Consider the following 13,883-nt stretch of genomic DNA (forward strand, 5'->3'; position numbering starts at 1 on the left):
TCAGAGGACACTGTGGCCATAAGAGCAGGACTTCAGCAGCCCCAAGTGGCCGTCTTAACAGACCCAGTCTTACAGTCACTGGTGATCAGCACCTGACATCTGCTCACATCAAAGACACTTCCTAAAAGTACCGAAGATTGCACCAGCCCACACCAGGAGATTTCTTTTTCTCTGTTACTCTCCTTGGACTGGTTTGTTAACCTTTTTCCTGCCGCCCTTCTCTTCATGTTAAATGTTACTGTGTGCTGTGGAATGTTTAATATATAACATCTATATATTGATTAAGTATATATGACTCTGCATGGCTTGTAATACTGACTGGCTTGTGGAGTGGCTTGAGCATATGTGCTCTGACTTGGGAAGTGAACAGAAAGTACTAAGGAGAACTGCCCCCTGGGGAACTCCATGGCGCTCATGGCTCCTGTGATTGAAATAACATCAATCAAAGTCTGACACTGTGGAAAGACAAAACATGTGCGGACCGGGTTATCCTTGAATTTGCACCGCTCACGACAGATGGCTCGGGACCCACATGCACACACAATCCAGCTTCAGCTCTGAACTAGCCATAAGCTCCCCGAGGCCACAGTCCCTTGGCCCTCTACCCAGTGTGTGCACGCACATGCACACACACACCTCCTACTGTCCCTTATGACCCTACGCAAAAATCCTTTCACTCCTCAGTGCTCCTTGAGCTTTCTTTCAAAGGCCTTGAAACCCTTGCCTCCCCTCAACTCTCTGAGCTGGGATTCCCAGGTAAGGGAACTTGTCCAGCCTCATTGGGGCAGCTTGTCTTAGGAGCTGGGCACTGGAGCCAGCCTGCCTGGGTGTCAACCGTGGCCTCACCTCTTACTAGCTATGTGTTACTTTGAGCAAGTTTTTTAATTTGGGGATCTAAGTGCTCAAGGTTGTTAATTTAAATATGTAAGTGGATTACAACACTGTCAAGCACATGTCAAGTGTTCAATAAATGTCAGCACATAGAAAAAAAAAAAAAAACCTTAAAGTCACAGGACACTAACACACACCAAACAATATTCTAGTTAAGAATGAGGAGCTCAATCAATATCAAAGTAACGAGCAAATCTCTGAGGGTCCAGAATCACTGATTTGAGTGCTAAGAAAAAGCCAAGGTGCTTCTCCCTGTCGCAGGCTGCAGAGCTGTGGCAGCCAGTGACAGCACTGTGCAGCATAGACACTCATTGCTTCTGCCTGCACCCAGAGCTCGGCTCTCATTTGCTTGCCTTTCTAAAAATAAATGAGCCTCTGGCCGACGCAGTTACTCACGCCTGTAATCCCAGCACTTTGGGAGGCTGAGGCAGGAGGATTGCTTCAGCAAGGAGTTCAAGACCAGCCTAGGCAACAAAGTGAGACACTGTGTCTACAAAAAGAAAAAAAAAGATTAGCTGGGTGTGGTGGCATGTGCCTGTGGCCAGTTACACTGGAGGCTGAAGTACAGGATCGCTTCATCCCAGGAAGTCGAGGCTGCAGTGAGCTGTTTACACCACTACACTCCAGCCTGGTCAACAGACCGAGACTCTGTCCCTAAAAAAAATTAAAAATTTTTTTAAAAATGAGCCTCTTAGAAGTAGCAGCACTGGGCTATTGAGATGCTGACTCAACTCACATGCCACAGGTCTAGGAGCTGAGCTGCTGTTTGTCCCCTGCAGCCCATCAGCCACCAATGACACACAGCAGGATGCTTTACTCTCCACCCATGCTACACTGGCTGACAGTGTGGATTTTATGTAACACTTACGCGATGGAGAGCTCATTACTTTCAGAAAGCTAAGATGGTGGTGGAGGGTGCTGGGGGCGGACAGAAGAGTTAAGCAACACGACTGACGTCACACAGCAAGTTGATGAGTTTTCAAGCTGCAGTCCCCAGATCCTGTGTGCGTTTTGCCTCTGCCCCACAACCCTGACTTACACTTTAGGCTAGTGATAAACTGCAGTGTGAATGCATGATCTGCAGCTGAAAGGTGTTTGAAAACCGCTCAGGAGAGGAAGAAAAGCAAATGCAATTCTTTCAAGGTAGTCTTTGTCATGCAAATCTGGAATCATGTTGCTAGTAGGTATTTATAGCTTGAAGATCCCACATCTAGCATTTCAAACAGAAATGATTACCTCTGTAGGACACAAGCATTTCTTTTCTTTTCTTCTTCTTTTTTTTTTTTTTTTTTGAGATGGAGTCTTGCTCTGTAGCCCAGGCTGGAGTGCAGTGGCGCAATCTTGACTCACTGCAACCTCCGACTCCCGAGTTCAAGCGATTCTCCTGCCTCAGTCTCCCGAGTAGCTGGGATCACAGGCATCTGCCACCATGCCTAGCTAATTTTTGTATTTTTAGTAGAGACGGGGTTTCATCATGTTGGCCAGGATGGTCTCGATCTCCTGACCTCGTGATCCGCCCGTCTCGGCCTCCCAAAATGCTGGGATTACAGGCATGAGCCACCGTGCCTGGCCCGGACACAAGCATTTCTAACTGCAAACTATTTCACTAAAAGGACAGATAGATTTCTACTAGAATCATCAATGTCTACATTGCAGCATCCAGTAAACAGGGACTGCTATATTTGGGAAGCTCTTCTTGCCCCCTGGTGGTTGTAAAGATGTTTAGATAAACTGCACACTAAAAAGTGTACTCTTGGCTGGGCGCGGTGGCTCATGCCTGTAATCCCAGCACTTTGGGAGGCCGAGGCAGGCAGATCACGAGGTAAGGAGATCAAGACCATCCTGGCTAACACAGTGAAACCCCGTCTCTACTAAAAATACAAAAAATTAGCTGGGCATGGTGGTGGGCGCCTGTAGTCCCAGCTACTCGGGAGGCTGAGGCAGGAGAATGGCATGAACCCGGGAGGCGGAGCTTGCAGTGAGCCGAGATCGTGCCACTGCACTCCAGCCTGGGCGACAGAGCAAGACTCTGTCTCAAAAAAAAAAAAAAAAAAAAAAAAAAAAAGTGTACTCTTGGTGAAGTTTTGAGATATATATATATACACTGTGAAACCATCACACAACCAATTTGTTGAACATATCTGCCACCTGACCTGCAAAAGCTGCTTCATGCCCCTTTGTAATCCCTCCCTCACACCCATTTTACCCCCTCCCAGCCCCAGGCAACCACTGATCCACTTTCTGTTATTATAGACTAGTTCGCACTTCCTAGAATTCTACAGAAATGAAATCATACAGCATGTGCTCACTTTTTGGTCTTACTTCTTACACTCAACGCATTTTGAGATCCATCTGTATTGTGTATCAATAGTCCATTTCTTTTTTTTTTTTTTTTGAGACGGAGTCTTGCTCTGTTGCCCAGGCTGGAGTGCAGTGGCGCAATCTCGGCTCACTGCAAGCTCTGCCTCCTGGGTTCACGCCATTCTCCTGCCTCAGCCTCCCAAGTAGCTGGGACTACAGGCACCCACCATCACACCTGGCTAATTTTTTTGTATTTTTTTTTAGTAGAGAAGGGGTTTCACCAAGCTAGCCAGGATGGTCTCGATCTCCTGACCTCGTGATCCACCCACCTCGGCCTCCCAAAGTGCTGGGTTTACAGGCGTGAGCCACCACGCCAGGCCCAATAGTCCATTTTTATTGATCATTCATTTATCAAATGTATATCAACAGGTAAATGGCTACACAAATTGTGGTATATCCATACAATGGTTATTACTCAGCAATAAAAATGTAGCCATTTACCTGTTGATATACATTGGTGTTGTTTCCAGTTTTTATTACAAATTAAACTGCTATGGACATTTATATACATGTCTTGGTAAGGGCAGATGCTTTTGTTTCTCTTGGATACATACCTAGGAAGGGAATTGTCAGGTTATGTGGCAAGTATATCTTTAACATTTTAAGAAACTGCCCAAGCATTTTCCAAAGTGACTGTACCGTTTTACATTCCCACTAACAATGTACAAGAATTCCAGTTATTTCATCCTATCTTCACCATTTGGCAGAAGGATCTTTAGACATTCTAATGTATGTGGTGGTATCTCTCAGTGGTTTTAATTGCATTTCTCTAATGACTGATAAGCACCTTTTCATGGACTTATTTGCCATATCTGTATCTTCTTTGGTAAGTGTCCAAATATTTTGCCCATTTTTATTGTTATTTTCTAATTACGAGTTTTGAGATTTATGTATCCTGAATACAGGTCCTTTATTAGATATGTCTGGCAAACATTTTCTTCCATGTGTGACTCACCCAGTCTGTGGAAGACTTTTTCAAACTATCTTTTCAAGAGAAGAAATTCTGAATTTTGATAAAGTTCAATTTATCAACATACAGATTGTGCCTTTGATATTGTAGCTATAGGTCACAAAGATTGCGTCTAGGTTTTTAGCAGTTTTAGTTTTGGGTTGTAAATGTAGGTGTGAAACATCACTGGTTAGTTTTTGTATATAGTGTGATATATGGTTCAAAGCTCATATTTTGCATATGGATATCCATCTATTCCACCACTCCTATCTTTCTCCTATTCTCCTATCTTTTCTTCACTAAATTTCCTTTGCATCTTTGTCAAAACTCAACTGACCACATTTGGAGGGTGTATTTCTATATTCTATTTTCTTCCATTGATCTGTGTCTATCTTCACTGGTACCACAAGGTAAATGACTGTAGCTTTAGTCTGTTCAGTTCAAAATGCTAATTTCCCCCTTTTTATTTTTGTTCTTTCTCATGGTTATTTAGGTGTCATTTAGTTTCCAAATATTTGGATTTTCCAGATGCTACTGATTTCTAATGTAAACCCACTGTGATCAGAATATATACTCTGTATGACTTAAATCCTTTTAAATTTATTGAGACTTGTTTTATGGCCCAGAACATAGTCCATCTTGGTAACTGTCCTGTATGCCCTTGAAAACAGTATGTATTTTGCTGTTGGTGGTAGAGTGTTCTATAAGTCAATGACAGGCCACAGCAGGAGGATTGGTTGAGGCCAGGAGTTCAAAACCAGCATCGGCAAAAAGGTGAGGCCCCCATCTCTACAAAAAAAATTGAAAATTAAAAATCAGCTGAGTCCAGTGGCACAAGCCTACAGTCCCAGCTGCTCAGGAGACTGAGGTGGGAGGATCCCTTGAGTTTCATTGTTCCAGGCTGCAGTGAGTTATGATTGTGTCACTGCACTCCAGCCTCTGCAACAGAGAAAGGCCCCATCTCTTAAAAATGAAAAGAAGAAAAAAGAAGCCAATGAAGTCCAAGCTGGCTGATAATGCTGCTCACATCTTCTATATCCTTACCAATTCTATTTGCGCCAATTACTGAGACAGGGATGTTAAAATCTCTATTAATTGTGGCTCTATTTTTCTCTGTAGTCCAATCAGTTTTTGCTTTATGCGTTTGAAGTTCTATTTGTAGGTGTCTGAATGTTTAGGACTGCTATGTTGTCCTGATGAATTATTATTATAAAATGGCCCTCTTTATCCCTAATAATAGTCCTTGCTCTGAAATTTACATTGTCTAGTATTAACATATCCTTCAGCTTTCTATGAACTTACATTAGCGTGGTTTATTTTTCCACCCTTTTACTTTCAACCTATCAGTCTTCATATCTAAAGTGGATTTCTTATAGGCAACATATAGTTGGGTCTTGCTTTTTAAAAATGAAATCTGGTAATTTCTACTGTTTAATTGACATGTTTAGACTTCTGGTTTCTGGTCTGGTGTATAAGGAGCCTGGAGGCCAACACTCCATACTAATAAGTAAAAACTTAAATAAACTGAAAAATCAAAACCTCTTCTTAGATTTATCAAAGAATTGAGTTCACAGGGCAAACTGGTGTCTCCAGAAGTTGAGAAATTGGCTAGACTCAAAGAATCACAACTTACCAGAGCAGAAACCCACTGGCAGAACCATTCCAGGAAGAAGTTCAGGGTAGGGAAAACTCAACTTAACTGATGAATTGCTAGACGCTCAGTGCGGCCAAATTTGAAAGGTGAAAACTCCAGAGGGACCCAGTCCTGGTGGGGAACATTTCTACGAGTTTTACCTCCAGGAACTTACCATGTCCCCACAGTGAACACCTACCAGGCTCCTCCTGCTTCTGGCTTGTTTCCTACAAGAAAGCTGCTGTCATCTTTACCTTTGTTCCTCTGTACCTAATCTTCTCTCTCTTCCTCACTTCTAAAACTTCCTCTTTATTGCTAGTTGAAATTTGATTGATAGTTATTATATTTCTTGGGTCTCAGTAGTTGCCATCAATTCAGCTATTATTTCTTCAAAAAAACTTTTTTTTGAGACTTGCTCTGTCACCCAGGCTGGAGTACAATGGCGCGGTCTCGGCTCAGTGCAACTTCCGCCTCCTGGGTTCAAGTGATTCTCCTGCCTCAGCCTCTGGAGTAGCTGGGGTTACAGGCGCCTGCCACCATGCCTGGCTAATTTTTGTATTTTTAGTAGAGACAGGGTTTCACCATGTTGGCCAGGCTGGTCTCGAACTGCTGACCTCGTGATCCACCCGCCTCAGCCTCCCAAAGTGCTGGGATTACAGGCGTGAGCCACTGCGCCCGGCCATTTCTTCAAATTGTTTTTTATACCTCCCTTCTCCACGGACTCCAATTATACACGTATTTGGCTCCCAAAGTTGTCCCATAGTTCTCTAATGCCCAATTTCTCCTACCTTCTTCAGTCTTTTTCCTGTTTAAGTTGCTGTCTTCCAATTCTTTCATATCTTTTTCTGAGATGTCCAATCTGCTGTTAATCCCATTCAGCGTTTTTCATCAGATATTGCAGTTTTCATCTCTAGAGGTTCAACTTGGTGTTTTGTATCTTCCATGTTTTTCTCTCTAGCTTTCTGAACATATGGAATACAGTCATAATACCTGCTTTAATGTCCTTGTCTACTGATTGTCATTGTGCCATTCCTGGGTCAGTTTTGATGGACTAATTTTTCACTTCATTATGAGCTTATGTTCATGCTTCTTTGCATGCCTAGTATTTTTGTTTTTGTTTTTGTTTTTTTTGAGATGGAGTTTCGCTCTTGTTGCCCAGGCTGGAGTGCAATGGCATGTTCTTGGCTCACCACAACCTCCACCTCCCTGGTTCAAGCGATTCTCCTGCCTCAGCCTCCCAAGTAGCTGGGATTACAGGCATGTGTCACCACGCCTGGCTAATTTTTTTGTATTTTTAGTAGAGATGGGGTTTCTCCATGTGGGTCAAGCTGGTCTCAAACTCCTGACCTCAGGTGATCCGCCTGCCTCGGGCCTCCCAAAGTGCTGGGATTACAGGCGTGAGCCACCGCGCCTGGCTGCCTAGTGATTTATTAGATGCCAAGTATTGTATATTTTACTTTATTGGGTATATTTTTTGTATTCCTATATTCTTGAGCTTTGTTCTGGAACACAATTAAGTTACTTTGAAACAGTTGTGTTCCAGTTTGGTCTTGTTTTTAAGCTTTCTGAGTTGGGACCAGGGGTAGTTTTTATGTAGAGTTAATTTTTCTACTACTAGGGCATCTTAGTTCTCTTCCAATGCCACCTAGATTACAAGGTTTTCCACTGTGACTGTTGATAACAGGCACTATTTTCCACTCCAAACACTGTTCCCTCTAATTCTTTTGGGTGAGTTTCCTCACCGGCATGCACTATTAGTGTGTAACTAAATATCTGATGGAAACTCTCTGCAGATCTTAGTTCTCCTGCTGTGCAACTCTCTCCTCCAAGGCATTCTCCCCTGTGAACTCTAGTCATTTCGACTGCCCAACTGCACCTCAACTCCAGGAGACCGCCAGGTCCTGATGGGGTAACCCTTCCTAGAACCACGGACTCTCCGCAGATAGTAAGTACAGATAATTTTGTTTCCCCTCTCCAAAGGATCATTGTCTTTTATTGCTTAAAGTTCATTGTCTTTATATTTGTTAGGTACTTAAGAAGGAAAACTAACAGGACAGATAAGTTTTAGGAAATAACTACCTTACTCTAGCAAAATACCACACACAAAAAAAGGGGACCCACCCACACCAGACAACGTCACAGGCTGAAAACTTTCACCATCCAGCCTAACATGGCCTGCTCCCTATCCCACGGTGCCATTAGGGTGCTCCTCCTACTTCCAGCAGAAAGGCCTCAGCAGAGGTCCCGAGGACAGCGACAGGAGGAAACCTGGATCTCCATCCTCACCAGGCAGTAACGAGGCAGTGCCCCATCCCATACCAGCACCGTCAGAGGAAGCATGCTGAGAGATTTAAATAACTCCCAGAGCTTCATAACAGTGAAGATGACCAGGATACAGCCAAAGTCACTCATCATAACAAGAACTAGGACATTGTAAACTTGAATGAGAAAAAACCTCAAGGGATGTCAACACTAAGATGACACAGATGTTGAAACTTTATGACAATTTTTTTTTTTTTTTTGGAGACAAGGTCTCACTCTGCCACCCAGGCTGGAGTGGCATGAACAAGGCTCACTGCAGCCTCAACCTCCTGCAATCAAATGATCCTCCCACTTCAGCCTCCTATGTAGCTGGGACTACAGGCATACACCACCATGTGTGTCTAACTTTTAAATTTACTTTTACTTTTTGTAGAGATGAGGTCTCACTTTGTTGCCTAGGCTGATCTCAAACTCCTGGGCTGAAGCAATCCTCCTGCCTCACCTTCACAAAGTGCTGGGGTTATAGGCGTGAGCCACCACACCTACCTGATGACAAAGATTTTAAAGCAGCCACCATAAAAATGCTTCAGTGAGCAATTATAAACACTCTTGAAGCCATTTAAAGAAAAAAAAAGTCTCAGCAAATAGCCTCAGCAAATAAAGAGAAGACATAAAAAATAAACCAAATGGAAATTTTAACTGAAATATACAATGACAGTCAAAGTTAAAGTACTGCATGGATGGTTCAAGAGCAGAATGGAAAGGAAAGAGTAAATAACCAGTTATTCTGAAGATAAAACAATAGAAATTACCTAAACTGAGCAACACAGAGAAAACAGACTGGAAAAAAAATAAACAGCGCCTCAGGGACTCACGGGACAATAGTAAAAGATTCAACATTTTGGTCATCAGTGTCCCAGAAAGAGGATGTGGGTGGGGCAGAAAGAGTATGCAAAGAAATAAAAATATATATATTCCACAGAATGGGTAAAAACTTCTGTAAAGCATGTATGATAGGGGGGCTTATATCTAGAAACTATAAGGAACTCAATAATAATAAAAAATAACTTTTTAAATGGGCAAAGGCTCTGAATAGACATTTCTCCAAAAAACATATACAAATGGCCAATCAGCACATGAAAAGATGTTCAACATCATCAGCCATCAGGGAAATACAAGTCAAAATTGCAATGGTATACAATTAATATACCATTTAACATTCCCAATAGTAGCCTACAACTTCCATTTCCACTGTGGAAAACGGTTTGGAAGTTCCTCACGGTAGTCAAGTTACTTAACTGCTCTGTAAAATGAAGTTAATCACATTCACTTTGGATGAATGAGTTCATATATATTAGCTATAATTACTACAGCAATTATCATTGTGTACATTATTACTGATTGGGTCAAATTATTAACCCCGTCTCCCTAATTCATTTACTTTTGTTACTTTGGATGAATATTTAAAGTAGTCTTGAACTGAGATATGTATGTAAAGGTTCTATCACATTGGCATATAACATGTGCTCAACAAATGAAAGCTATAATTATTTATTTCCAAAGAGTTTAAAGATTAAACTTCCCTCAAAACAAACAAAAGGCAAGGTAACATCCCAAGCTGTGAGGGGCTGAGTCTCTCCTAGGTGCAGGGCAGCACAGGAACTGGCTGCACAAGGCCAGAGAGGTTACGTGGCGGCTCTCTTCAAATTAGACCACACAGAGCGCTTCATTCCCTGTGCAGTCTTCACATCTTCCCAGTCCAGTTTGACGTCTGGAACCTCATCTTCTGGCTCTGGATCCTTCCTCAAGGGCCCCCGGGGGGACGCAACCACAATGGGCAGAGGGCCACATTCCTCCCGGATTTCCACAACATGGAGGCCCTTCTTATCAGCCAGCTGTTGATGGGTTTCCTAAGCAAGACCAAATTCAGAACAGGTTAGGTCTGAAGTACATTTGCAACATAAAGAGCAGGAACTTCCACAGGCCACAACAGTACAGCCTGGGGGTATTCAAAGGCCATTTCAGTGGATTTGGGTTAATGTGTTTTGTGGCTAAACTCTAATAACCTGTCATGGGTGGAGTCATTTCAGCCTCATCTGCTGCATCTGCCCACCCCAAACTTGGATAGAGGAAGGGCCTTGGCCTCTGGTCTCTTGCCTTCTAAACCCTCCTGATTATGCACCATGCTGTGCCAAACACTGAACTTGAATCTCACCAACCCCCTAGATCTAACTACCAATTTACAGTAAATATAGGGGAGATAAGACACTAAGGACCCTACAGGTATTTTAGTCAGCAACAGGCCAGGAAGCACTACAAAACAAACAACCTGGTTTCCTCAACAAAAAATCATAAGCGGGGCGGGGGTGGGGGAAGAGGAGGGGAACCTATTTAAAAGGCATAGCAAAAACATACATTAACCTGTTCTGCAACCTGATTCAAACACATTGTGTAAAAAAAAAAAAAATTTTTTTTAATCTAACAAATGGAATTTGCTCATTTGTATGAACATTGATTGGATATTTGATGATACAAGTTACTGTTAACTTTTTAGGTATGATAATAGTATTACAGGGTATTTTTTAAAATCCTCATCTTTTCGAAGATACATACTAAAATATTTAGGGTTGAAATAAAATGTCTGAGATTTGGTTCAAAATAACTGGGGGTGTACTAAGAAGCAAGACTGGTCATGAGCTGGGTAACAGGGCCATGGGGATTCACTGCAGAGGGAAGCCACAGAGATCTGGAAGCAGGCAGATTAGTTCAGTAGACGTTATTCATGGTACAATGACATACCTGCTATGTCAATCCCGTGATCCCAGGCCTTATGGCTGCCTTGCACTATTCTAATTATATATCTAATGCCCTGCAGTATGTGTGAAATTAGAAAACAGATGAGCCATTTCATAAACAAAATAATTTATATTGGTGTATCTTTCAATCAAAGGCATATCACCTAAAGTGGTGGCATCTTTTCCTTTTTGAGTGACATATTAAATAATGCAACCTTTTATAGCTGATGGCATTTTAGGAGAGATGACATATGGTAACTATATCAGAAGGTTTAAAAGACTAAAAGAAAACAAAGATATCACATAAAAGAACAAGTCTAGGCTGGGCGCGGTGGCTCACGCCTGTAATCCCAGCACTTTGGGAGGCCAAGGCGGGTGGATCACGAGGTCAGGAGTTCAAGACCAGCCTGACCAACATGGTGAAACCCCATCTCTATTAAAAATACAAAAATTAGCCGGGCATGGTGGCACGTGCCTGTAGTCCCAGCTACTCAGGAGGCTGAGGCAGGAGAATCGCTTGAACCCGTGAGGCGGAGGTTGCAGTGAGCTGAGATGGAGCCACTGCACTCCAAGCCTTGGTGACAGAGCAAGACTCTGTCTCAAAAAGCAAAAACAAACAAACCAAAAACCAAAAACAGAACAAGTCTACTGGATCATAAATACAACCTATCTAAAATCAACATCTTAATTAAACCTCTAATGTTTCAATTTACAAGTGCTCTGAAGGGTGTTTTAGACAGTAACACACACAAAAGCTGTTCAGAAAACAGAAGGCTTTTACCCAAAGCCTTCTTTTTCTTTTAATTTTCCTACTTTAAACAGAGACATGTAAAATTACTCCATGGATCACTTTACCTAAAACCCACCACTGTACTCCTGAAATGTCAGGAAGCCTGCCAAAGTCCTCAGCTAACAGAGTTCAGCAAATGGAGCCTATTGAACCTGGTTGTCTTTTCTGTTCATCCACCTATGCTAAGGTCTACCCATCCTTTCAAGAGACAGGCCAGCCCTCCTGGGCAGGTAGGGGAGCTGCCCAAGAATGGGGGCCCGGTGCAGTCACAGCCCTGCCCTCCATGGTGGGTGATTGGGAGCCGGGCCCAGGGCTCCCACCTATGAGGAAAAGTAACCTGATATGTTAATGTTCATAGTTCCCTACCAACCCAGGCATCAGTCCGAACCACCTACACAGGTAACAGGGAACTGACTGTGCCTGCCCTGTGTGCAGAGGTGCCCTGGGTGCTTCATCCTAGCCCCAACTGAAAGGACTAAATTAGGAAATGAACTTTCTCTTTTGATTTTACTTTTCTATACTGTTGGAGCTTTAGAACAAGCAGGTGTTATTTTCATAATAACATGTAGATTGTAATTATTGGCTTTAAAAATGCTGCTTAGAAAAACCCATGAAGTACTTTTTAAAAGGTAATTTTCAGGCCGGGCGCGGTGGCTCACACCTGTAATCCCAGCACTTTGGGAGGCCGAGGCGGGCGGATCACGAGGTCAGGAGATCGAGACCATCCCGGCTAAAACGGTGAAACCCCGTCTCTACTAAAAATACAAAAAATTAGCCGGGCGTAGTGGCGGGCGCCTGTAGTCCCAGCTACTTGGGAGGCTGAGGCAGGAGAATGGCGTGAACCCGGGAGGCGGAGCTTGCAGTGAGCCGGGATCCCGCCACTGCACTCCAGCCTGGGTGACAGAGCGAGACTCCGTCTCAAAAAAAAAAAAAAAAAAAAAAAAGGTAATTTTCATGAACTTGTCAATGGATTTAACTAAACTGATGCAGTCACAGACAACAAAGAATGCCCAACTCCTCAGGTGGCCCCAGGAAAGCATCTCCAGGAGGCCCCAGGGCATCGTAGCCCCAACACACACAACTGAAATACAAACTAGAACCTCTGTTTCAGACCCCGGGAAAGGATTACCTGTCTGGAGAGCCCACGGAAGAGGCCCTGGGTGAGGCTGAGCATATTAATGGACCCAGAGACCTTGGCATACATGTCTTTGATGCCAATGAGCCGGCAGATGGTGATGATGGCCCTGTGGCAGCGGAGGCCGTAACCTAGAAAAGGAGAAACCGGGTGAAACACAGCCCACTCGCCTGCAGCCGGAGGAGTCACCCTGCTGGCTTTCGCATGGCTTCAGGCTCTGGGCTTCGGGAAACTGGTTCATATTCTGGTATCACCACTTCCTAGTGAGCTGACCCTTGACAACTTACTTAACTTCCAAGATGACACTTACTCAAACAGGATACTACAAGGATTAAGAAGATGACATCTACAAATATCTTGAACACATTTTGAGGGCAAAAAAACAGGATTGTTATTGAGATTAATAAACATGCATGAAAATTCTTGGCACCCCAGACTCATTTAACTAAGGATGGAGGGACACGTCTCTTCTCACCCTCCTTGATAGTTCCGTTGCCCTGAGCAGAGGGTCCACTTCCTCCTCCTGAAGAAGCTCCTCTTTTCGTTTTGGTAACACATCCTCTCCTGGATTTCCTCCTAGCTATTGGCCTGTCCTCTCCTCCTTGCTGGCCTCTAAATCTTGGGGGGTCTCCCCTCCAGCCACTGGCCCTACCCTTTTCTGCCTGTAATTCCTTCTCCAGAGAGCTTTAAAAACACAAACCAAACAAGTTGCTCCCCATTTAAAGATCCCTCCTTCCCACTGTTCTCGAGATTAATATAAAGAGCACCATGGCCTATTCAGAGCCTTCTGTGCCTGAGTCCTGCCCGCCCACCTCCCTGACCTCATCTAGAGACACGCCACCTCCTGCTGGCTTCCTCACCTTAAGGACTGCACTTGGGATTCCCTCTGCCTGGAATGTCCTCCCAGCTCTGCCCCCTTGGCTCCTTCTCACCTTCAAGGTCCCACTCAAATTGCTCCTCTTCAGACAGGCCTTCTGTGACCATGCTATTCAAGGTGGCATCCTTCCTTCTGCCTTCCTCCCTCCTACTCTAACACAGTACCCTGATTAGGGCACTCAACGAAACCT

General features: G+C 43.7%; 1 protein-coding gene across 6 annotated transcripts in view, besides 1 other annotated feature; it reads right to left on the reverse strand.

Moving 5' to 3' along the window:
• Positions 1–7,793: 7,793 nt before the first annotated feature.
• Positions 7,794–13,883, reverse strand: part of MRPS5 (mitochondrial ribosomal protein S5) — a 36,635-nt gene continuing 30,545 nt past the window's right edge. For all 6 annotated transcript variants that reach the window (NR_136152.2, NR_136153.2, NM_001321997.2 and 3 more), the window contains 2 exons: positions 12,811–12,947; positions 7,794–10,006 (listed from right to left, as the gene is read on the reverse strand). Coding sequence is in view for 4 of the 6 variants with exons in the window: in NM_001321997.2 (NP_001308926.1) it covers positions 9,782–10,006; positions 12,811–12,947 (362 nt within the window). In the remaining 2 variants the exon portion in view is untranslated. The remainder of the gene's footprint in view (positions 10,007–12,810; positions 12,948–13,883) is intronic.
• Positions 9,878–10,443: an enhancer, noted in NCBI's record as "NANOG hESC enhancer chr2:95753198-95753763 (GRCh37/hg19 assembly coordinates)". NCBI's record gives its function as "activates a minimal SCP1, AML or CMV promoter by ChIP-STARR-seq in naive H9 embryonic stem cells {active_cell/tissue: H9 hESC(naive)}" and the evidence as "EXISTENCE:reporter gene assay evidence [ECO:0000049][PMID:30033119]".

This window comes from Homo sapiens, chromosome 2 (genome assembly GCF_000001405.40).
Source record: "Homo sapiens chromosome 2, GRCh38.p14 Primary Assembly".
NCBI classification, from domain to species: domain Eukaryota; kingdom Metazoa; phylum Chordata; class Mammalia; order Primates; family Hominidae; genus Homo; species Homo sapiens.